Source organism: Homo sapiens, chromosome 12, assembly GCF_000001405.40.
Source record: "Homo sapiens chromosome 12, GRCh38.p14 Primary Assembly".
Classification (NCBI taxonomy): domain Eukaryota; kingdom Metazoa; phylum Chordata; class Mammalia; order Primates; family Hominidae; genus Homo; species Homo sapiens.
In genome coordinates, this window is record NC_000012.12 from 9,103,283 (window position 1) to 9,126,267 (window position 22,985).

The following is a 22,985-nucleotide window of genomic DNA, read 5'->3' on the forward strand; positions in this document are numbered from 1 at the left end:
GCAATCATTTTACAGATAAGGAAATGAAGCACAGAGGTTTTAGTTAATTCCTTAAAATAGGGTTGAGCCAGTATTTTTAACCACTTTATCTGATTCAGATTCTGGAATTCACACTTTTCAAAAAAGTTATTATAAACACACACACACACACAACATAAAATTACCATCTTCATTATTCTTTAGTGTACAGTTTGGTAGTATTAAGTATATCTGTTGTGCAACAGATCTCCAGAACTTTTCATCTTGTAAAACTAAACCTGAATACCAATAAGAGGAATTCCCCATTTCTCTCTTTCCCTAGCCCTTGGCAACCACCATCCTGTTTTCTGTTTCTATGACTTTGACTACTTTAGAAACCCCATGTACGTGAATCATACAGTATTGGTCTTTTTGTGACTAGCTTATTTCACTTACCATAACGTCCTCAAGGATCATTCATGCTGTAGCATGTGACAGGATTTTCTTCCCTTCTCAGGCTGCATAATATTCTGTTGTATTTATATACCACATTTTGTTTACCTGTTCATCCCTTGATGGACATTTGGGTAGCCTCGATCTCTCAGCTATTGTGAATAGTGCGGCTATGAACACGGGTGTGCAAATAGCTCTTTGAGACCCCGTTTTCGATTCTTTTGAATATATGTCCAGAAGTAGGATTACTGGATCATTTGGTAATTCTATTTTTTAATTTTTTCAGGAACTACTATACTGTTTTTCATAGTGGCTCCGCCATTTTACGTTCCCAGCAACACTGCTAAAGTCTAACCCGCACTTTTAATCACAATATACTGCCTTCTTTTCATAAACTTTAAAAAAGTTAACCTTCAATCGGTTTCTAATTGCTAGTTTTTTTCTCTCCATAGAACTAGACACAGTTTGGAAATTTTCTCACCCTTAGGTTGCAACCTTGTTTCCAAGGCTACTTCATGTCATTGGTAATTTCTTTCCAAACTTACCCTAACAGTAAGAGAGGTACCCATAACATTGGTGGTGTTGATAGAGAACTGTACAAGGCCATGCTCATCCGTGGTAGCATTGGAGTAATAGTTTGCTTCATTTCCTCTGATGAATATGACTTTATTTGGTATAGGGACGCCTTTCCCATCTACTAGGCGCACCTGAAGATTAAAAGCTGTGGATTAGTTATATTGGTAATAACTAATAGGCACCAAACATATTCATTTATCACATTTTTTAGTGCCTCCTCTATGTTGAACATGGTTCCAGGCACTGAGGACACAGCAGTGAAAAAAAACGAAGTTTCTTCCATCACAGAGCTTACTGTCTAGTGAAAGAGATAGATGCTAAATAAATATATACATAACATACACTAATTTAGTAGTAATCAATCCTAAGAAGAAAAACAGAGCAGTGTGAAGGGATAGAGAGTGATAGGGATAATAACAAGAGTGACCTGAAAAATGTCTTCTAGATATTTTGGAAGTGCTGTGTATTATTATATATAACTCTTAGAGAGTCACAGAGCACTAGAGTAATATGATAATGAAATATTTTAATCTATTAATCTATTAACTAAATTTATTTGTGCCCCAAACACCTATTTTGGAGTGGACCATTAACTTCCTATAGATTAGTGTCTGAAGTCTCATAAGTGCACAAGTAAACAATTGCCAATACATTGTCCTGTGTGTTTCTCCAGTTGCCTTAGACATGGTCTCTGCTTCTCAACCTAGATCTTCAGCCTTTTGGAAGGTAGGCAGATTTTATGACACACTTCCCATGTGAAAAATATAAAATTGAAAAGAGGCACACAGTATTAAATAAGTTGCCAAATCTAATTTACTGCTAATATTGTATTGGCAGTTGAGTAGTCCAGTTCAGATTGTAAAGGTGGCAATTCTTTTTCAGTATAAGCTACAGTTGGTAGCAGGAAGAACAATAGGCTGACCCCCATCAGTACTCATAATTGATTTACAAAATCTAAGTTTGCCAGTGAAATGTTGGCTGCATGTACAAAGACAAGAATAGGCACATAATTCTGATTTTCTTCTAGCTAGAGAGTCTTATGACAAATAGGATATTTAACAGCAATAAAATGTACTTACAAAGTACACTATCTTTCTGAGAAATTTACAAATGAGCTACACTTTCATTTTAGGAAGTTGAATACATTTTGGTGTCATGACATAACCAAGCCTTCTAGAATGTACTCCACTTTGTTGAGTCTATGCCTCTTTTACACCCTTCATAGCTGAAATCCTGTAACATTTACATTAAGAAAATGATACACAGTAAATACACATTGAGGCACATGTAACTGTGATCTCAGACTTCTAGAGTCATAAAGATCCATTTGCACATCTGCTGACAACAGAAAAATTGTAAGAGAAGATTTTTTTGGTAGATAACATGAAAATTCATAATTCAAAAATCTGAGAACCTTAAATAGCAGTGTTTTACCCCATGTTCACTGTTTTAGAAATATACTTGTTATAGAAAAATAGTGTAAATATACTATCCATGAAATAAACATTATTGTAGAATCTTTAATACTTCAAAATAAAAATTAAAACCACCTACCCACCTGTTTCCATACAAAGTTAGTGTTAGCATCGTAATGAAACTGGTCAGCATGAATTTTGAGATTCTTGTGAGAAAATGTCATAAAAACCTGAGACTGCCTGGTAAACCATGAGAAGGAGATTGAGTGACTTGTACAATGCTGTTTCAAAAGAAGGGGGGAAAACTCTACTAATTTTAATAAGGCCTTAGGATAATTACATACATTTCATACACAAATTTACAGAAGAATAAATCTATTTTTATGTAGTTTTATACCTTTGGTTATACTAATCAAGCCTTGGTGATATTTTATACTTTTGGTTATATTAAATGATAACATTAACCAGGCATGGTTTTAGCACAAACCATAACTATTGTGCTAATTAGGTAACAGTACATGGGTTGATGAGTGAACTGGAAAATACTCCACCTGCCCAAAGAAGGGAATTCCCTGTCGAAAGTGTGAGTCCACTTTCACAAATGAGAGTTTGGTTATGGTTCTTGTGATTTCACTGGACTGCCTTCCAGTCAATTCCACCACTGAAAAAAGAGAAAAAAATCTGTTATTTTTGGGAAGAATGATGTCTCTAAAATTCTATCACCTCCCCCCAACTTACAATTCATTATTTGGCTAAGAAAATCAATGCCTGTTGTGTTTTCTCTTATACCCATGTAGTACACAAACCTGTTCCTTCTTCTTGGATCTGGGCCTCAGTGTGAAGTTTCATTTCATACTCCTTCCTCTTCAGCTGGAAGACCTTGGTTTTTACTTGCTGATAGAAGCAGCCATGGCTGTTTAGCTAAGAAGGGAGAAAATAAAATACAAAAATATAATGCATATTATACTAAATAGATCAGTGGTCAGATAACCGGTGTGATTTTTGTGGGGGGACAACATCATGTAGGCATTTTCTATGACGAGGACACAATAAATATTCTCTAGCAACTAAATATTAAATTTCACAACAATATCTCATGTATAATTGACAGATGTATTCCTTGGTATCTGAAATTCCCTAGATATATTGCGATAGAAATGTCTTAAAATTTGAGGAGTAATTTTTTTTGTACAAAGGATGCATAATATTTATACATATTTATGGGGTACACGAGATATTTTGTTACATGCAGAGAATGTGTAATGATCACATCGCGGGATTTAGGGTGCCTACCAACTCAAGTATGTATCATTTCTATGTGTTGGAAATAGTTCAAGTCCTGTCCACTTGCTATTTTGAAATACACAGTACATCTGCTCTTGACCATTAGAACTCCTCATCAAAGTCTGGTTCCTCCTCCATAATATTCAGCTGTGGCTGGGAAGCGGCCTTCTATATGGGGACTGTGTTTGTCAACTCTCTGGCATCTTGGTGGGGCCATGTGATAGGTTCTTGTTCACAGAGAGAGCAGAACTGATGGCCTGGCCAGCTAAGGCAATTAAGAGGTGTATGGTTTTTTCCTTCCTTTGTAGAAGTGAATGCCCATGGAGGCTTTAGATGGCTCAGTGTCTATCGTTCTGAAACACTCACAATGGGCAATTACGAGAAATAAATAATTCCCATTGTGCTAAGTTCATGATTTTTTTTGAAAAATTACAATAGCCAACATGGAATTCTCTTCTAGATTGTTCTCTTCCTGCGTCAGAAAAATGCTGCAACTCACTGCTTTTCAACAATGCCTTTATCGCTATTCTCTAGAAAAAATAGTGTTCAACCTACCTGTCCACTGAATTTCTCACAGAAAGCCTGTGAATCTTCACCGTGGCAGTCGGAAGCGTCACTATACTTTCTGCAAATGCTCACAGTCACATGTCCAGGGACAGGCTTCCCATATGTGTATCTGTCATGAGAACATTCCCAAAGGAATCAGAGCAGACACTGAACCTCCCCATTTTCTAGCTATTTATATCTCCCCTTTAGCTACAGTATATTCCCTGTCTGTACTTCCCTCTGCTCTCTGCTGGGCTCACACAATATTGAAGACAAGAGTCACTAATGGCTCTTATAGAAATCTCCATTGCAACATGCTGAAATTTACATTCTTCTTTTATCATTTCTTTTTTTTCCTCGTTTTTTTTTAGTTTTATCTTAAAAAAGTCTTTCTTATTATAAAACTTAAACCCGTTCTTAAAAGAGAAACAATACCAGCAAGACGAAACAAACAAAACAAAACAGAACAAAAAAAACCCAAACGCCCTCAAGTCTACCTAGGAATACAAACTATTAGTACGATAGTGTCTCTTCTTCCATCATCCTCTCCCCATGTGCAGCCATCTCTATATCGAGTTTCACTTGTTTATTTTATTTTATTTTATTTTATTTTATTTTATTTTATTTTTGAGATGGAGTCTCGCTCTGTCGCCCAGGCTGGAGTGCAGTGGTGCGATCTTGGCTCACTGCAACCTCCACCTCCTGGGTTCATGCCATTCTCCTGCCTCAGCTTCCCAAGTAGCTGGGACTACAGGCGCTGGCCACCATGCCTGGCTAATTTTTTGTATTTTTTAGTAGAGACGGGGTTTCACCATGTTAGCCAGGATGGTCTTGATCTCCTGACCTCGTGATCTGCCCACCTCAGCCTCCCAAAGTGCTGGGATTACAGGCGTGAGCCACCACGCCGGGCCTGTTTACTTTTTTACAAAAGTGGGATTGTGTCGTAAATATGTCATAGACAATTGCTGGGTTTCCAAGTGCATTTGTCTCCTTTCCTATTTGAGAATGTCCTCTGTATGTCTATTTGCAAGATCACACCAGTTATGAGGAACCAGGAACTTGGCCATCACTGTGAGACAGAACTGGAGCAGGGGCCTAGCTGAATAGTAGGTGTATTACATGTGTGATCTTTGGACAGGACTATACCTGCTCTTCCTGCTACTGCTACTGTGTGCCACCATGGATGGGAACATAAGATCCAGGAAACAAGACTTTTCAAGGTTGGAACAGACTGTCTTGAGAAATCACGTTCAGTCTCTTCGTAAAAATGTCAGTGCAGACAGGTATGTAGACCCGCCTTAGGTGGACTAGTGAGTTAGATGAGATTTCAGTTGTATGCCTATCTCTACAAATTCTGAATCTAAGTGATTTTTCCAGTAAGCATGCAAGGTCAGGTAAATGATCTGTTGATGATTGAATTTCCCCTATAGCCATGTGTTAATTATCTCCCTAATATACGTTTGGTTATTTTTGGTTAAGGCAGAACCAATACCCTTCAACACTATCCACCCTTCCCATTTTGTGTGTGTGTGTGTGTGCAGTTTTGTCACTTTCAGAATCAATCCTATTAGCATAACCTCTCTAGAAACAGTTTCTTACCTCATGATAGAATAATACTGATAAGAACGTGAAAGAAAATAAAAATAGAAAAGCAACAGGAGAATAACATTCTACAGATGAGGATGCTGTCAAAGCACTTAAAATTTTTGTGTTGCCACTGCTCCCGGAGAGAGTAGTTAAAATATCCCAAATGGTGAGTCTCTTTTAAATAATCCCCCACAAAAGATTTTTAAAAAATGAACTCACAGGCCACACACTGATACATTCATCTCTTCTTCCAAGATGGTGATTATCTTTGGCACTGTTACTTGTACTTCAAACTTGGGAAGAACTGTTGATTGGTGATAAAGAAGGTTGGTGATTGGTTTTCAACTTTGGGGGAATTCCTATTTTCAGGTTCCCTGTAACAGTTCCCTAATAATATTTTAGGGCTCTGAAAAGGTAGCTCTGCTCTCCAATCTATTCTTATCTATCCTCCTCTCAAATGAAGATTTCAGTTGAGGGACTATGAGAGATCACTGTGTGCTTAATTAATTATGGAAAACTCCATTAAAACAAGAATGTTTTAATTTTGGGGGTTGGTATTAAATATTGCTACAGAAAATAACGAAGCTATGTGAAGTCCTATTCACAGATCACTGATGTCCTCATTGGACTTAGGTGTAATTAATTCTACTCCAAGCCCAATGTCACCCATGGGAAATGGAAAGACTCCAAATGAACTTAAATTCCAGGACCTAAGAGTTTAAATATGAAGAAAAATAATGCTTGATGACTTTTCATGATCCATACCAAATTCCTCCACGGTGAAAGGGTGCTCTGTCCTTCCACCTGATTTCTTCTGTACCACCACCTTGTAGGAGCCCTGGAAGGGCTCTGATGAGAGGGGAAAAGAAAATTGCTTGAGGCCACCCTCTAACTGGAAACTCTGCCATTGTGCGATGCGATTTCCTTTGGGATCCTATATGAGTAAATTAATTATAACTTACAAAAGCACCTGGAGCATTGGAGCTAATAAAAGATATCTATGGAAACCCTAAGTTATCTACAAAAAGGTCAAATGGGGTAGTAGTAAAGGGTGAGTAGAGGAGATGAGTTATAGCCATCTAGCTCTATGGGAGTTTGAAGGCTTCTCCTTTAATGACAAGTTTCTGAGATATTGTAAAAACCTCTGAAATAAGAACATTTTCCCTATATGTATTGCTTTCCTTTTAATATGGAATGTTTCATGTTGCTTACCTGAATGTATACTAGTGGAATCTGAAAGACAAAAGAAAAAAGAAGTTTATAATTATTTTCAAATATTCTTAAATCTCATTTATAAGCAAAGCAGCTAGTATTTGCTAGCATAACAGGGTGAGTATAGTAAAAAATAATTTAATTGTACATTTAAAAATAACTAAAAGTATAATTGGATTTGTTCGTAACACAAAGAATAAATGTTTGAGGGGATGGGTACTCCATTTATTGATACAGGCATGCAATGCATGATAATAATCATTATCCATGATTGGATAATGATATGGATAATGATAATGATTATCATCCATAATCATTATCATGCACTGCATGCCTGTATCAAAATATCTCATGTAACCCATAAATATATATACCTGCTATGTTTCCACAAAAATTAAAAACAATAAAAAGTTTAAAAAATCTAAATTAGTTTCATATAGAATAATTCCCTCTATAGTGAAATACAGAAATATTCCAGATTAAATTTTATAGAACTTTTCATTAATCTATTTTAAGCAATTAATAAATAATGTTAAGAACTTACTAGGCCTTCAGCAACAAATATACATGTAAAGTGCCATTTACTAAAAATGGATTAACATGTCTTAAGTGCTTATAGCATCCTAGTGAAGATCAATCCTTTGCTATGCAATTTTACAGGTTGAGAAATAAACACTTATGTAACTATAAGTAAATATGTTCAGATGTAATCATTAAGATGGGTCATAGAATTCTTACGTAGTTCTAAGAATGAGGAGGAATGGACATATTTCATTAATAAATTTAGTTTAATAAATATTACTTTTAAAAATGAATAAACATTGATAAGAAGCTACTATGAATGTTTATTCATTTTTAAAAACTAATCTTTATTAAGTACCTTCTCATGCGCTGTGTATCATTCTAGGTATTGAGAATATAACCACGCACAAAAGAACAATAAACCATGTTTTAATGGAGCTTATGTTATAATAGAAATAGGCAGATTTTTAAAAATCAATACGTATAGAATGGTGGTAAGTGCAAATAGAAAAACAAAGCCAAGTTAGGCTGACAGAGTGATGGGTGTGGTGCCTCATTTTAGACAGAGGAGTGAAAGTAGAAGCTGGGAGACCACTTTGAAGGTTATTGTAATGATCTTATTTAGAGATGACATTGACTAGGACTAGCTTGCAGCAGTAGTTCAGATGATAAGAAATAGTCTGAATATATTTTAAGCCAACATGATTTTCCAGTGAAGTGGATGTGGGTATGAGAGAAAGAGAAACAAGAACTAGGCCATAATCTTTTGTCTTTGGAGCTAGAAGAGAAGAGTTGCCTCTTTTTGAGATAAGAAAATGTGAAGAAGTTAATTTGGGAGAGAAAAATGAAGACTTTGGGTTGATGTCTGCATTACAATAGAAAGAACTGTTTCTTATCACAGATACCAAGAGTTAGTCTTGAGGAACAAATTAATTACCCTGACTTTCCTTTATAGTGAAGATTTTGGTAGATGTGTATAGAAAAAATCTAAATCTTTAAAATGTTTTTTGAGCTTAGGTTCTTTGAGGATTTTTCTGTGTCTGCTATTGAATGTATCTTTCTAATTGTCCTAATTAAGAACCATCCGAAAAGTAAATTTAATTGTGTGACAACTGACTGAGTACCAGCACCAAGACAGAAAGAATTACCTACTTTCTTTACCTGGAATGATGTTTTAGATTAGGATCTTGTGCTGTTGTAATGCCAGAAGTTACTGTTAATGATACCAGATTCTTCCTCTCCCTGGTCTTCCCTCAGCACAAAAAACAGGTTCCCAGCCTGTTTATACAGACAATCATTTTATGTAGATAATAGAAAACTCACCAACTCATTCAGGGGGTGAAAGTTTTCATCCATGGAGACAACACGAAATTTCACTGAAACAGAAATATTTTTCATGAGCCCCCAAACCCAAAGTAGGCCTGTAGGCTGGTAAGACAAGCTATTAAGGAACCAAGATTATAGGAACTTTGCCTGGGGAACATCCAGGGGAAGAAGATCTTTCCTTTTTGAAGTTGTCCTGTCTGTAGGCTTCTTCATACCTGTCTGCCCTGGTTTGTAGATTGATTTGTCTGTCTGGACAAAGACCAGACTGTCCTCGTTCTTAACCATCACTGTGGTCCGCTTCTTAAATTCTTGGGTTGGTCCTTTCACTTGGACAGTGAGGAACATTACCTCCTCATTGGATGAAGACTTTGGGACCTGAAATACAGGACCGATCCTGAAACCCCATTCAGCACCCGCAGGTCTCCTCCCCTATTTGCTGTTGCACTCTTCCCTGGAGATCTTGCCCTTCTTACTTAACTTCACTCCCTTGTTCTCAGCAGGGAAAGTTGGCATGGACAGGAATCACTTCTGCCATTTTACAAATGGGGAGACAGGACACAAGGTGGAGGAAAATAAATCAGTAAGAGAGGTTGTAAGTGAGATTCACACCTTCATACAGCTCACAGAAACAGTCTTGATTCAATTATACGCTGAGCTTTACCAGGCTGATATTACATGCTAAAAGGGCATGGTCGAAGCATGTTTTACAGGCTATGGAAAAAAACCCCGTATTTTACTGACACTAGGCTGTAAGCATCTCACATGTGGACAACTCTGAAGAGATATTACACCTTTGCTCAGGGTAATTTCTACAATTTTTACTCTTAGAAGTAGTGTGGAGTGATGTGTTCCTGTCAGTCCACCACGGGTGGCTCATGTTGAGCCTTGGTCTAGTTTGCTTTATTAATATTTTTTCCATCTTAATTTTAAGAAGTCACATTTTCTTTTTTTTTTTTTCCTTTCTGGCTAATAGGGTTTCTATGTGATTATTAAGCTGACTTTTAGTTTGCCTGTAAATATTTGTCTCCCATGGCTGGAGAGTCATGCATTGCTCCTTAATTTCTATACTTAGTTTGCTACATTTGGATTCCTTCCTGCAGTTCTTACCAACCTCCCAAAGCCTCATCTGACAGAATACTAGATCCCTATGACCCTGACTAAAAGAACCAAGTATATTAAGTCAAACAGCCACACTCACAGCGAAGGCGACACAGTGGAGTACGTCATTCTCCGCCTCCAGGTCAGTGAAGAGGCTCCTGTTTCCCCTGACAGACTCCAAGGAAGCACTTACAGTCACTGTCTCATTCAGGTAGCTCAGAAGGACACAGCCCTTCTCAGTGGTCTCAGTGTGGAGCAGGGAGGGGACCAGAACCATATACTGCCTGGGAATGAGACGGTTCAGTTAGAGGAAAGTGAAGGAAGAGAGGCATTGCTATCAACAGCACTTTTTTCCATCATCATAATTATCATCATCAGTTCTACACCAAGAGAAGATGTACTGATGAGCATGAAATTTGGCCGTTGAAGGCCATGCATAAGAATTATTTCCCTTTTCCCTCACATGCCATGGCAGTGAACATTTTACTTGAGGTAGGTCTTAAACAGATTAAAACTTGTAGGCATGCTTCACTTTAAGGAACAATTTGTGAACATCTGAATTCAAATAAAAATATGTAGTTACATTTGTTCATGTTGTAAAATCTATTTTTACCTTCAAGTTGCTGTAAAAAGTAAGCAAGCTCTCAGTCATGCGGACATTACAAAAACTAATCAAATTATAGAATTTTCATTAAAATATATATACACACATACATACATACACACATTCAGCAGCCCTGTGAAAATTGTATGGTAAGCACTCGCTTCCACTCCACAGATATGGAATCTGAGCCTCAAAGAAAGTGAGCCATTACTTCACAGTCTCAGTTGTGGTAAGCAGCTAATAAGGTCTTAAGAGTGTTACCTAACCATGGATGTTTGCATTTTAAATATTTGCCTTTCAGCTCATGATTAGACAATGGCTCCATCCAAAAATGGTCCTCTGGTGATTGACTTTAGACCTTGGTAACTCATGTGCAGTACAGAAACTTTCTCAGTACCCTGACATGTAATTTAAGATCAACCCTGTAGTTTTTATACATTTTTGCTCACAGAACTCCTAAAATAATTTTTGGACTCTGTGCACTCCTTACATATTTTCAAGTAAACATATTTTTATCATGATTTTAAGTAATAGCAAAAGATATTATTTTTGATGATATTTTAAATTAATACTTAGATTACTTTTACAATTTTCTCATGAATAATAAACACTGTAGTATAAGATACCTACTATCACTATTTAAAAGTACATTAAAAAATTCTTTTAATGGTCTGATATTTAATATCTTTCTCTTCTTTTTTCCTTTTTGAATTTGAATTTCCATGCCAATTACCATACAGAAATTTATCCTAAATTTTTATATTTCAAAAAATGTTGTGAATTATTCTTACTTCTTTATTGTCAAGCATCTATACATATACGTATGTATACTTATGTTCACATATATACATATATGAATACATATACATAAATACATATATATGTAACATATGTGGGTAGGTAAATTTAACTTTAACTCCTCTTTTAAATAGAATGTAACCATAAATTTATAAATATTAAACATTTCCTTCTGACTGAGCTATGTTCAAAAATACTTGTATATAACTGATCAAAACAAAATAAATACAAAGTATGATTCATACATATTAGATATAAAATTAAAATACTTTTGAAGCACATCTTTAATGAGAATGATGAGCTGTTTTTTCCCCCAGTGAATTTATGCATCCATGGATTGCAAGAATTAAACAACATTAATTCTGTTACTATTTTTGTTTTGTGTAGCTATAAGTGCTAAGAAGAATGGCTCACATAAAAGTAAATAAATGGCAGGTAAAACAATTGCATCATTGTTACCACTTCTTGCAACTTCTGCATTACATGCCAAAAATCACCTAGTACTCTATTATCAAGAATCCCTTCTCATCACTCATCAGCTGGTATTTCCTTCAGTTCCTCCTTCAGTTGTGTTGAAACAAAGAATTCATCACCACCTCATCTGCAAAAGGATTTCTCTTCTGACATTAGAGTCCCTTGCTTTTTCAATATCAACACCAGTATTTCAAATTGTTCCTTTATTTGGCACTCTATAGATTTTTATACTCCAGGGCATTGTTCCATGTTTGGTTGTGGGAGAGAATTGTCTTTATTTTTATAAAATAGAAAATGGACCCTTGAGAAAGAGGAAATAAGAAAAGATAAATAGCATGGTCTCAAGTAGATCAATATGAATGTGAATATCTAAAATTTATTCTTTTAAAAAGCTAAAAATTTCTGACACCCCTTAGGAAGGCTTTGCATATTAGAGCTTCAGAGAGTTGGGGAAGAATGATTAAAAGTAAGCAAGTAATGAGTAAACTAGATTTGTAAAATCTGGAAGGAATCTTAGAGATAAGAAGATGACAGTATCATAGGAAAGAAAAAGGAATGATATAAAGAAAAATCTGCAATAAATGAAGGACTCTAGGTTCATGCTTCACGCTCTCTGTGTGGAACTCACGGTTTTCCAGAGACTGAGGCGTCTGTGGGCAGGAGGACCAAGAGGAGAAGAACCAGACTTGGATGAAGGAGTTTGTTCTTCCCCATGTTGCAGAAAGAAGGAGCTGGAGGAGAACAGACTGTATTGTACCCTACTCCCTACAATCCATCTGGTCCCAAACACTTCCCAAAGCAACTGGGCTTTATGCTGCTCTGTGTGCAAACAGGAAGTTCCACCCACACAAGATCTCTAAACAAAGTTGAGGTCTCTGAACATTCTCTGGAAAGGTCATTGATGGCCTATTTATAGTCAAGGTTAATTCCTGGCGGGCTAAATAGAATCCCTGGAGGGCTAAAACTACATTCCCATTCCCGTAAGAGCTCACTTTTACCGTACAGCAGCTAATAAGCTTTTCAACCTCTTCTCTCCCTCACTCCCCCACAACTCCTCACAACGCCTTTTATGGTGCTTCTCACATCTCTTGTATGAATAGCTGGCAAGGAAAACTACAATTTAAGCAACACTGGGCAGGCTCAAAATAGATATTTCACTACAAGTCAGTGTGGCTGCAAGTTCTCCATTAGATATGCCTAACCTAAATGTTTGAAGCCACATCAGAATTCAGTAGTCCTCTTTGAAAATGGCACGAATTAAACCAGTAGCTTTTTGACATTAGGGATATTACTGGGTTGCAGATGAAGAGCCAGGCCCTGGAAGAATGATCATAGAAAAGAGTTTCCTGTTTTAAGAAAGTGAAACAAAGAAACGTGAAGTAACAGGACTTCAAAAACAAATTTTGACCTATTGTGCCTAACAAACTTCCCAATTGCCTTTACCATCGACTACACAGACTTCCTTACTGCCTTCCAAATATGATACTCCTCTGCAAACTTTAAGTCATATAAATGATTTCATTAATCCATCCATCCACCCATGCATTTATTCATCCATCTATTCATGTAGCTATTCAGTTGCTTTGTAAGTATTTTTTGATCCTACTAGGGCTAGACATCATGCAAGATTCTAGAGATAGGGTGGTCAAATAAGTATGAAAACAGGCACTTAAAGATTTTACATTCTTGTTGGGGCAAAAACAGACAGAAAAACAACTACTGTATAAAATACAATATAACACCTACTGTATAAAATACAGTATAAAATACAATATAAAACTACTGTATAAAATACAGTAGCCAAACATATTATTGCAGAAGTTCAGGATGCTCTGGGAGCACATAAGAGAGCACATAACCCAGACCTGGAACCTTTTAAAAAAATTTTGAGGGAAAGCAAAATGTAAATTAAGCTCTGAAGTATGAGTAGTGGTTGTCTCGAAGAACAAAGAGATGAAAAGAGCTTTCTAAGCATAACGAATGACAGATGCAAAGGAGGGAGAAGAATCACGGCACATGCATGAAATGAAAACTATTTGGTATGGAGGAAATATTCCTTTCTGATACTTCAAATCAGAAAGGAATTTGTCAACAATATTAAGGTATTCAGAGGAGTACTCAGTGGATTGACTTCAGGTTTGTTTCCTGGAAAGCTTGCTCTTATTGAAATTTGAAAGGGCAGCTAGAAAGAGGTGATCCAGGATGCAGGAAGACCAGATGGGAGCTGGTGTAATAATATAGGTGAAAGCTGATGGCATTTTGAACTATGGAATTTGTGGTGGTATTGAAAAGAGCTTGCAGATTTATATCATATTTAAGAGGTAATTATAGTGCTCAGTGAATATATCAATGTGAGGAATAAAGGAAAATGTGTCTTTCCATTTTCCTGGCTCGTCACGGAGTGAATTGTGTTGCCTTTAGCTGGGTGAGTGAAACAGAAGAAACACAGATTGGTGGGAGCAGAAGGAGGACAGAAGGGCTGAGGGTTGGGAAGATGGAGTAAGTGCTTGTGGGATATTCACGTATTAATATTCACAGGAGTTTGACATTTGAATCTTGAGCTTACAGCAGTGTGGTCTACTAGAAATAGAATGTGATCGCCCTGTGTAATTTTAAATTTTAAATTTTCTAGTAACCACATAAAGAGAAACATTAAATTAATTTTAATAGTGTATTTTATTTAATCCAATATATCCAAAATATGATCATTTCAACATTTAGCCAATATAAAATTGTTAATGATATCTTAAAGACTTTTTTTTCATAATTTGTTTTCACAAGCTGGTGTGAATTTTATACTTACAACATAGATCAATTTAGGCTAGCCATACTTCAAGTGGCCAATATTAGACATAATATAGGTAATATTTTTCAGATTATGGTGTTAGCATCTAAGTGGGTTGTAACATCATGCCCTGTGAGTCATGACCAGGATTTTAAAAAATGAAAGAGAATATAATAAAAAATACAGTGTATCAGACAGAATAAGTGAGAATAGTGATTTGGGAAACATCTGTTTCATATACATGCAGCAGAGGCTGGTGGTTGTTTCCTGTTACCACTTCTCCAATTCTGCTTTAATAATAGAACTCCCGATCCTTTGCTGGGTGCAGACTGCCTAGTTGACTTCTATGTTTTTAACCCACTCCCTTGAAGCTGGGTATGGCATATGACTAAGTTCTGGTGACTGGAGGGCAAGTGGAAGTGATACATGCAACTTTCAGTTCATGACTTAAAAAAGGAAGGGTACAGTTCTGCGCTTCCCCTTTCTTCCTTGCCCAGGCTGGAATGTGGACATGCTGACTAGTGATAGGTACTGCTGTAGCTCATCAGATGGAAGCCATGTGTTAAGGAAGGCAGAACCACAAACCAGGCACAGCCTGAGCCCTTGAGTCATCAAAAGTCTACGCCAGTTGGGACCTTTATGTGACAGAGAAATGCATTCTCTTAGTTAAGCCATTGTATTTTGAGGTCTGTTACAGCATTAAAATCTATATCCTAACCTTATTTTTCTTTGTCACTATTTCTGTCTCAATCATCTGTATCCTTTACTCTAAGTGTCCTAGGTCACAATTGTGAAAATGTGATTACAGTGTCACAGTGGGAACTGCTTATTGAACATGTACAAAATCCCTTATTTTTGGTTAAAGTTAAAGCAGTCTGAATGCCACTAGCTTGATGAGATCTGCTGTACTTATAGAGACTATGGATTTATCAGTTTATTGGGCAAGCTGATGCCATGGAAATGGATGATAATACCCACGTAGAAGATGTTGATGAAAAGAGAAAAAGAGCCCAAGACAGAGTTACAGGGAATGCTCTTGTCTAGGCAATGGGCAGGAGCACCCAAGTGGAGCAAGAAGGGCCAATTAGAGAGGAAGAAACACAGGCAGGAGAGTGTGAGGTCTCTGAGTCCCACGGAAGGGACCGCTTTAGTAAGAGAATAGTCAATAGAAGATTGCTACTAGACCAGAATGATCATGACTTTATACCAAGGCATCAATGTTAATAGCACACAACATTTTAAAAAATTATTACAAATGATGGTATAATTTTATAATGTATTGATTCATAATGTAACATAATTTAAATGGTTTCTAAGACGCTAGAAATAAGTGAGCATTTACTTGGATTAATGACTTAAAATAGGAGGGATTAATGTTAATAGCATTCATTTGATGCCTCATGATAAATTACAAAGATGATCTGTAAAGGTTGTCATTGATAAATTCCTGGCTACCCATGTCAAGTGCCGCTGTGAAATCAAATAATTGATTGATTTTTTTTTTCTGCTGGGTTTAAGGACAAGGACATTGGGATTCAGCTGTTTCAGTGCCGGTGTGGGGCAGAAGCTTGCTGAGGGTGATGGGGAATGTGAGGAACTAGAGCCAGTTTGGCAGTTTGTCTGAAGGGGAGAAAAACAACAGAGCAGTACCTGACGGAGATGCCAGGGTGAAAGGAATATTTCTTTAGGTGGAAATAAACTTGAATAAGTTTGAATGAAATATTGCTTCTAAAAATGCTGAGTGGGAGGTACAAATGACAGGGGAGAAGTTGAGCTTTTTGGAGTGAGAAGGGATGATCCCAGAGGGAGGTCTCTGAAGGATGCATGCAGCAGATGTATTAAGAATGTGGGTGGAGGAATGATCCTTAATGGGAGAGATGCCGCATTCATTATAATCACAGATAAAAAGGAAAGTATTACTAAAATCGCCTTTCACCACGACAGAGCCTCCTATTCTTTAGGAGAGGGAAAACGAGCTTGAGAGAAAAAATAACTGGACCAGTTAGTTGCCAGGACACCTGAGCCCTACTTCTAACTTAGCTGTGTGGTCCTGGGTAACTCAGTTAACTGCTCTGAGCCTCAGCTTTCATGCCAATAGTGGGGCAATAATATCTGTGGTCTCACCTTAATGGGGTAGTTTCATACAAGATGCTAGGTGTAACACAGCTTTGACATTCTGATCCTTACTATACCAGTGTAAATTAATTTTTATAGTTTGAATGCTAATGGCTGAGGATGACATCTATTTCATCTCTGTTCTGGGTTTCGCTATAGGAACAGCATCCATCAGTGTTTCCAGGAAAAATCACCAATTGGGTTACCTGAGTAGCAAGTTCTTGACAGAAAAGGGAGCACACAATTTGAACCAGTTCTATACAGTTTTGAAGTATTTAGCAAATACTGCTAGAAAGCTGAGGTAAAGGGGTAGAGCGAAAAAAAGGAAGGGAAAAAGATAGTCCATGGAAAAGAAAGTAGAAGAGCAAAATACAGGAAAACACATAACAGTAAGAACAAACAAGGAATATTTGGGAAATGAGAGAAATTAGGATTAGGAGGTAGGTGGGCCTTAACAAAAATAAATAGAATCAAATTTTCTCCTTGTATTGCTATAGTGCTTCCCAGGAACTGAATATAACTTATTTAATTGTACCAATTGTACAGTTAGCGCACATTGTCCTTGAAAAGAGAACACTTAAGCTTCCCATAGTCCTGACAGTGACGATAATGACAATTTCATCTGGTTACATATTAACTAGTATCAAAAACAAGCTCAGTAGGTGGCATAACCATATTCACCCTATTAGAGGGTGTACTGGCTTTGTCTTTGACGAAGTATCTTGGGCAAAATCTGCAGTGAAGGAAATATATATCTACAGAGATGTACTCAGTGATCAAAGAGCAGAGTTTTTCTCATTTGTGCTATCCCACTAACGTGTGTGTGTGTGTGTGTGTGTGTGTGTGTGTATTTTTTTTTTTCAGAGACAGGGTCTTGCTCTGTTGCCCAGGCTGGAGTACAGTGGTTAGATCATAGCTCAGTGCAGCCTTGAACTCCTAGGCTCAACTGATCCTCCCATCTCAGCCTCCCAAATAGCTAAGACTACAGGTGCACTCCACCACGCCCCGCTAATTTTTTTCTTAAGCTTTTTATGGAGACAGGGTCCTACCATGTTGCTCAGGCTAGCCTCAAAGTCCTGGCCTCACGGGATCTTCCTATCTCGGCCCCGCAAAGTGTTAGGGTTACAGGCATGAACCATCATACCCGGACTTTCTGCTTTTTAATGAGAAAAAATATTTGAATATACAAAGATAAAAGCACATCCTCAGGTTGTTTTCATTCTAATATGCCTCCATCATTTCTCAAAATTATCAAAAAGCACTTTGGGAGACTGAGGCAGGTGGATCATGAGGTCAAGAGATTGAGACCATCCTGGCCAACATGGTGAAACCCCGTCTCTACTTAAACTACAAAAATTAGCTGGGTGTGGTGGCGTGCGCCTGTAGTCCCAGCTGCACGGGAGACTGATGCACGAGAATCGCTTAAACCCGGGAGGCAGAGGTTGCAGTGAGCCGAGATCACGCCACTGCACTCCAGCCTGGCAACAGAGCGAGCCTCTGTCTCGAAACAAACAAACAAAAAAACAAAAACAAAAAGAAAGAAAGAAAGCGTTTTATCTTTTTAATCAGGATACACTTGGTCCTTTAGGTTTCTAAAGAGGACTGATTTCCACACATAATCCATTTTATTAGATCCTATGTTTGCTACAGAGGAATTAGTGTTTGGACTAAAACAATTTACTACAAACAATAGAATTCAATGGCTGTCCTAACATATTTATACTTTGGGGCATGCCGAAGTATTTTTGTATAATGAATCTGTCCCCATTGTGAATTTGCTATGTATATACATTTCAAATTTATAGATACTATCTCATCAACTTTCTAAAATGCCAACTTACCTTCTCACTAGCAATGCTTATGTGTATATATTTTCCCAGCACTCATTTAAAATTTTACCAATCTGATGGGGAGGGGAGCATGATCTATTTTGTCTTTTCTTTTTCAAGTTCATGATTACTGGTGATGTTCAGCATCATTGTCACTTGTAGGAACCCTGTTGCTTATAATTTATCTTTGTTTAACTTTCTTTTTGTTTATACTGTATCTTTATTTTCTGATTAAGAAATCCTTCTGCATATGCATACTGAAATTGTAAAAATATTATCCTGCATTTTTTCCTACATTAAGTATTTGTGTTTAGATTTTAATCTTCATCTGCAGTTTATTTTGGAATAGGAAGCAAGGTGGGGGAAATGTTACAGGATTACTTTTCCTTTGATGAACAGAAAATAAGTGTATGCGTGTTTGTGTGTGGGTTTGCACAAGGTTGGTTCATGACCCTTAACCATAGGAGCCCCTTTGTTCACTGTAGTGCTCATGTTCGCTGTGGAACTTTCCAGTGTCAGAACTTTCATTTTAGAGAGTTCTACTTAGTTTGGGAGCAAACACTGGGGTTAAATTTTAAAAGTAGGAAAGATAAAGTTGTTTGCCAACTTTACTTAATTACTCAGATGATGCTGATGATAATGAGGCTAACAACAATAGCTACAACAGTAACAGGTAATGACAGCTAGCAATTACGTAGTACTTACTATATAAATGGGCTAAGACAAGTTCTAAGAGATTTAGATGTTCCAATTTTTGTTATGCTAAAAGATTATTTTGCTAATAGTTGAACTGTCGGTCCCTAAACCCACAATTTACAGTAATATTATAAAAATTTATTAAAAAGTAATTATGGAATATATTGTATAAGGTATTATTGAAAGTTCTCAAGTTTTAAATAGTGTAGCTTTCATAATTCATTTATTTTCAAAGCAAGTTATACATACGTACTCTCATTATTTAATTTAAAGTAATGCAGTATAATTTGAAGGTTAAATTACAAGTTATTTATAAAGAAAAGGGTATAAAAAGGCATGGTATTTAAGATGTAAGTATCAAACTGGTTTTTGACTTTGGCAGTAATTATAAATAACTATTTATTAATTAGACATCATAATGTAATTTTTTCCATGTAATTAAAGAAGTGGTATAGACTGCTAACATATTTTAACTTTTATTAGAAAATAAAACATGTTAATTTTTATTAGATAAAATAATTTGAATATATCTTGTTACTGGTACAAATATTTTAGGACATAATTTTATAAATGAATTTTAAGTGACCTTATTTAATCTTGTATATAGTAGTTCCCCTTATCCGAGGGGCATATGTTCCAAGATCCCCAGTGGACACCTGAAACCACAGATAGTACCTAACCCTATATATACTATGTTTTTTCCTATACATACATACTTAGGATGAAGTTTAATTTATAAATTAGGCTTAGTAAGAGATTAACAAAACTGATAATAGAAGAACAATTATAACAATATGCCAACATCACTACTCTTGAGCTTTGGGACCATTATTAAGTAAAATAAGGATTATTTGAACATAAGCCCTGCAGTATTGAGATAGCTACTAAGTGACTGGGGTGGGGGTTAGGGGGAATAACAGCAGCATATACAGCATGGATACGCTGGAGAAAGGAATGATTCATATCCCGGGTGTCAAGATTTTATCACACCACTCAGAATGGCACACAATTGAAAATTTATGAATCGTTTATTTCTGGAATTTTCCATTTAATATTTTTGGACCCTGGATGACCAAGGGTAACTGAAACCACAGAAAGTGAAGCTGCAGATAAGAGAGAACAAATATACTATCTTTCTTGCATAAAGCACATCAGCAATACTAATTGACTACATTTCTAGTTTCAGTTTCTTCCTTGTTTGTGAAGCAATTAGAGTATTTTCCTAGATCCTTTACATTATCCCTTAAACTTTATAGTAATTTCCTCTATGCCTAATTCAATGGCTTTTTTTTTTTCGCGGAAAATGCAAGATGAGCCTAGAATATCTTATCCTACCAAACAGAAAGGATGCTGCCAAAGACTATTAGGGTTATGTCGAAAGGACTCAGCTGCCGCCCTTAACCCATTTCCTATTTAGAAAAAAAAAGTGCAGCTCCCTGCCAGCATTCATTTAATTTTAGTAAACACATTCTTTGAGGCTGGAGCAAATCTGACTGATTTTCAATGTGAAAATAAAATATAAAAGCTGTTCTTGGAGTTATTTCTAAACAGAACTTGTCTCTAATCCTAGTGTAACAGACATGTATGTGATGTTACCTTAGGATCAGAGACAAGAGGATTCTCGGGGCAAACGGGAAATTCATTAAGATGTTTCCACTTGCCAAAGATGGGATACCATTGATGGTAGCCGCTGCTGCCATAATGTTGGCTGCAGTGGAGCCGGTGGGAGCTCCGTCCCTTCTGAGTTGGGGCCAGAGCTCCCCGGTGCCGCTGCAGCTGCCCAAACCGAGGCTGCAGACCGCGGCCTCCTGCTCTATGGAGCAGGTAGGAGCCCCGCCCAAACTGCGGCTGTGGATCTGAGCCTCCCTGTGCTCTTGGAAGGGGCTGGGAGCAGGCAAGATCTACACTCCCCGTGCGGCTGCAGCACCCCGACCAGTGGCTGCAGACCTGGGCCTACTGCTCCACTGAGCCAGAGAGAGCCCGGGACAAGCGGGAGACCTGCCCATTCCCAGTTGGCTGCGCGGGAGATTCCCTGGTGCAGCTGCGGCACCCTCACAGGTGCAGGTCCAGGCATCTCTGCAGCCTGCACCCTCGAGAGCCGGGAAGACCCTCCCCTTCTCTCGACCCTGCAGGCTCAGGGGTGTCTGCTCCCATTGCCTGGCCTTTCTCCTCTCCCAGAGCCTGCTCCAATCTTGGGGCTGAGCCCAGGGGCCATGAATGGCAGCGGGAGGCAGGCAGACTCCTGGGCAGAAGGGGGCAGGTCCCCTGTAAGGCCCCACCTTCAGGCCAGGGAGGACCTGAAGGTTGGGATCCCGGCAGTCAGTCCCTAGGACTTGTGGTGCCTCCTTTGGCCTGCCTATGGCTGCCCATGGATCAATCAGCAGGCATTTCCTCCACCCCATAAAAGCCTCGGGCTCAGGCAGAGCAAGAGAGAGGATGGAGGGACAGGAAGACCAGTTGCAGAGAGAAGCTGCCCTCTCTGCTAATAGCAGGAGACGATGGGACAACCAGCTGCACAGAGGAACTACCCTCTCTGCTGAGAGCTTCAGAGACCTGCAGAGACTTCGGGACTACAGTGCAGAGAGGAGCAAGGAGCACCCGCTCCAGGGCCTCCTCTCTGCTGAGAGCAGTAGATGTTGGGAAGACCTGCCTACGGAGAGGAGCTACCCACTGTGGGTCTCCTCTGAGCTGTTCTAAAATTTAGTAAAGCTCATCTTCATCTTGTCCTTCACTTGTCTGGGTACCTCATTCTTATTGTGCACCCTTCACTTGTTCGTGTACCTCATTCTTCCTGTCATTCTTCCTGGATGCAGGACAAGAGCTTGTCGCCAGCCGCAGAAGTTTCTGGCCAGAAAATCGACACCTCAAAGCACTAGGTAATACCTTGAGTTTAAGAAATACAGAAAATACAATCAACTTAAGCTCATTAAATATATTTAAATTCATGAGTTAATGATATATTTTTAATCCAATTGATCACATTATTTTCAATTGACGAAAAATTATGTAGACATTGTGTGCAACATGTCATTCTGAAATATTATACATTGCAGAATGGCTTCAATGGCATTTTTAACGTATTCCTCTCCATGGACTCTTTCCAAAGACTTTTAATCTAGGTTTTAGATAAAAACTGAGTTTTAAAATAGTGCGTGTATGTATATTTTTTGTTTGTTTGTTTGTTTGTTTTTTGAGATGGAATCTTGCTCTAACGCCCAGGCTGGAGTGCAGTGGCACAATCTTGGCTCACTGCAACCTCCACCTCCCGGGTTCAAATGATTCTCCTGCCTCAGCCTCCCAAGTAGCTGGGACAACAGGTGCTCACCACCATGCCTGGCTAATTTTTGTATTTTTAGTAGAGACGGGGTTTCACCATATTGGGCAGGCTGGTCTCAAACTCCTGAGCTTGTGATCCACCCACCTCGGCCTCCCAAAGTGCTGGGATTACAGGCGTGAGCCACTGTGCCTGGCCATGTTTATATTTTATAAGTTCGTGTACTTTATTCCTCAAATTTATAATTACAATAATGCAACTGGCATAACAGAATATACCACAATCATACAGGGTGAGCATATAACTCAACTGTTAGGAGCAAAAGTATGTAGAAATATTAGAGATTATTATTAATCACAGTATTTAATATTGTACTAGTTTCATTTTCTGAAGTGGAGAATGTTATTTCATCCGGTGAATCTCTTAAGACCTA

At 37.8% G+C, this 22,985-nt stretch overlaps 2 protein-coding genes across 8 annotated transcripts in view, besides 1 other annotated feature; one reads left to right on the forward strand and one right to left on the reverse strand.

Annotated features, from left to right (window-relative positions):
* A2M (alpha-2-macroglobulin) overlaps positions 1-12,947 on the reverse strand; it is a 48,522-nt gene extending 35,575 nt beyond the window's left edge. For 2 of the 5 annotated variants that reach the window (NM_000014.6, XM_006719056.4), the window contains exons 1-11: positions 12,482-12,637; positions 10,078-10,261; positions 9,095-9,254; positions 8,877-8,929; positions 7,032-7,052; positions 6,585-6,753; positions 6,039-6,123; positions 4,242-4,362; positions 3,209-3,323; positions 2,954-3,063; positions 957-1,118 (exon numbers count right to left, since the gene is read on the reverse strand). In NM_000014.6, coding sequence (NP_000005.3) covers positions 957-1,118; positions 2,954-3,063; positions 3,209-3,323; positions 4,242-4,362; positions 6,039-6,123; positions 6,585-6,753; positions 7,032-7,052; positions 8,877-8,929; positions 9,095-9,254; positions 10,078-10,261; positions 12,482-12,567 — 1,266 coding nt within the window. In that variant the 5' untranslated portion in view covers positions 12,568-12,637. Of the gene's footprint in view, positions 1-956; positions 1,119-2,953; positions 3,064-3,208; positions 3,324-4,241; positions 4,363-6,038; positions 6,124-6,584; positions 6,754-7,031; positions 7,053-8,876; positions 8,930-9,094; positions 9,408-10,077; positions 10,262-12,481; positions 12,638-12,845 lie in introns of those variants that run through there. The other 3 variants (NM_001347423.2, NM_001347424.2, NM_001347425.2) reach the window with 3 other exon arrangements.
* Positions 1-22,985, forward strand: part of KLRG1 (killer cell lectin like receptor G1) — a 265,527-nt gene that overhangs the window by 153,239 nt on the left and 89,303 nt on the right. The gene's annotated exons all lie outside the window — the stretch shown is intronic.
* Positions 14,848-14,927: an enhancer, noted in NCBI's record as "active region_5939". NCBI's record gives its function as "activates an Ori minimal core promoter by ATAC-STARR-seq in GM12878 lymphoblastoid cells {active_cell/tissue: GM12878}" and the evidence as "EXISTENCE:reporter gene assay evidence [ECO:0000049][PMID:35858748]".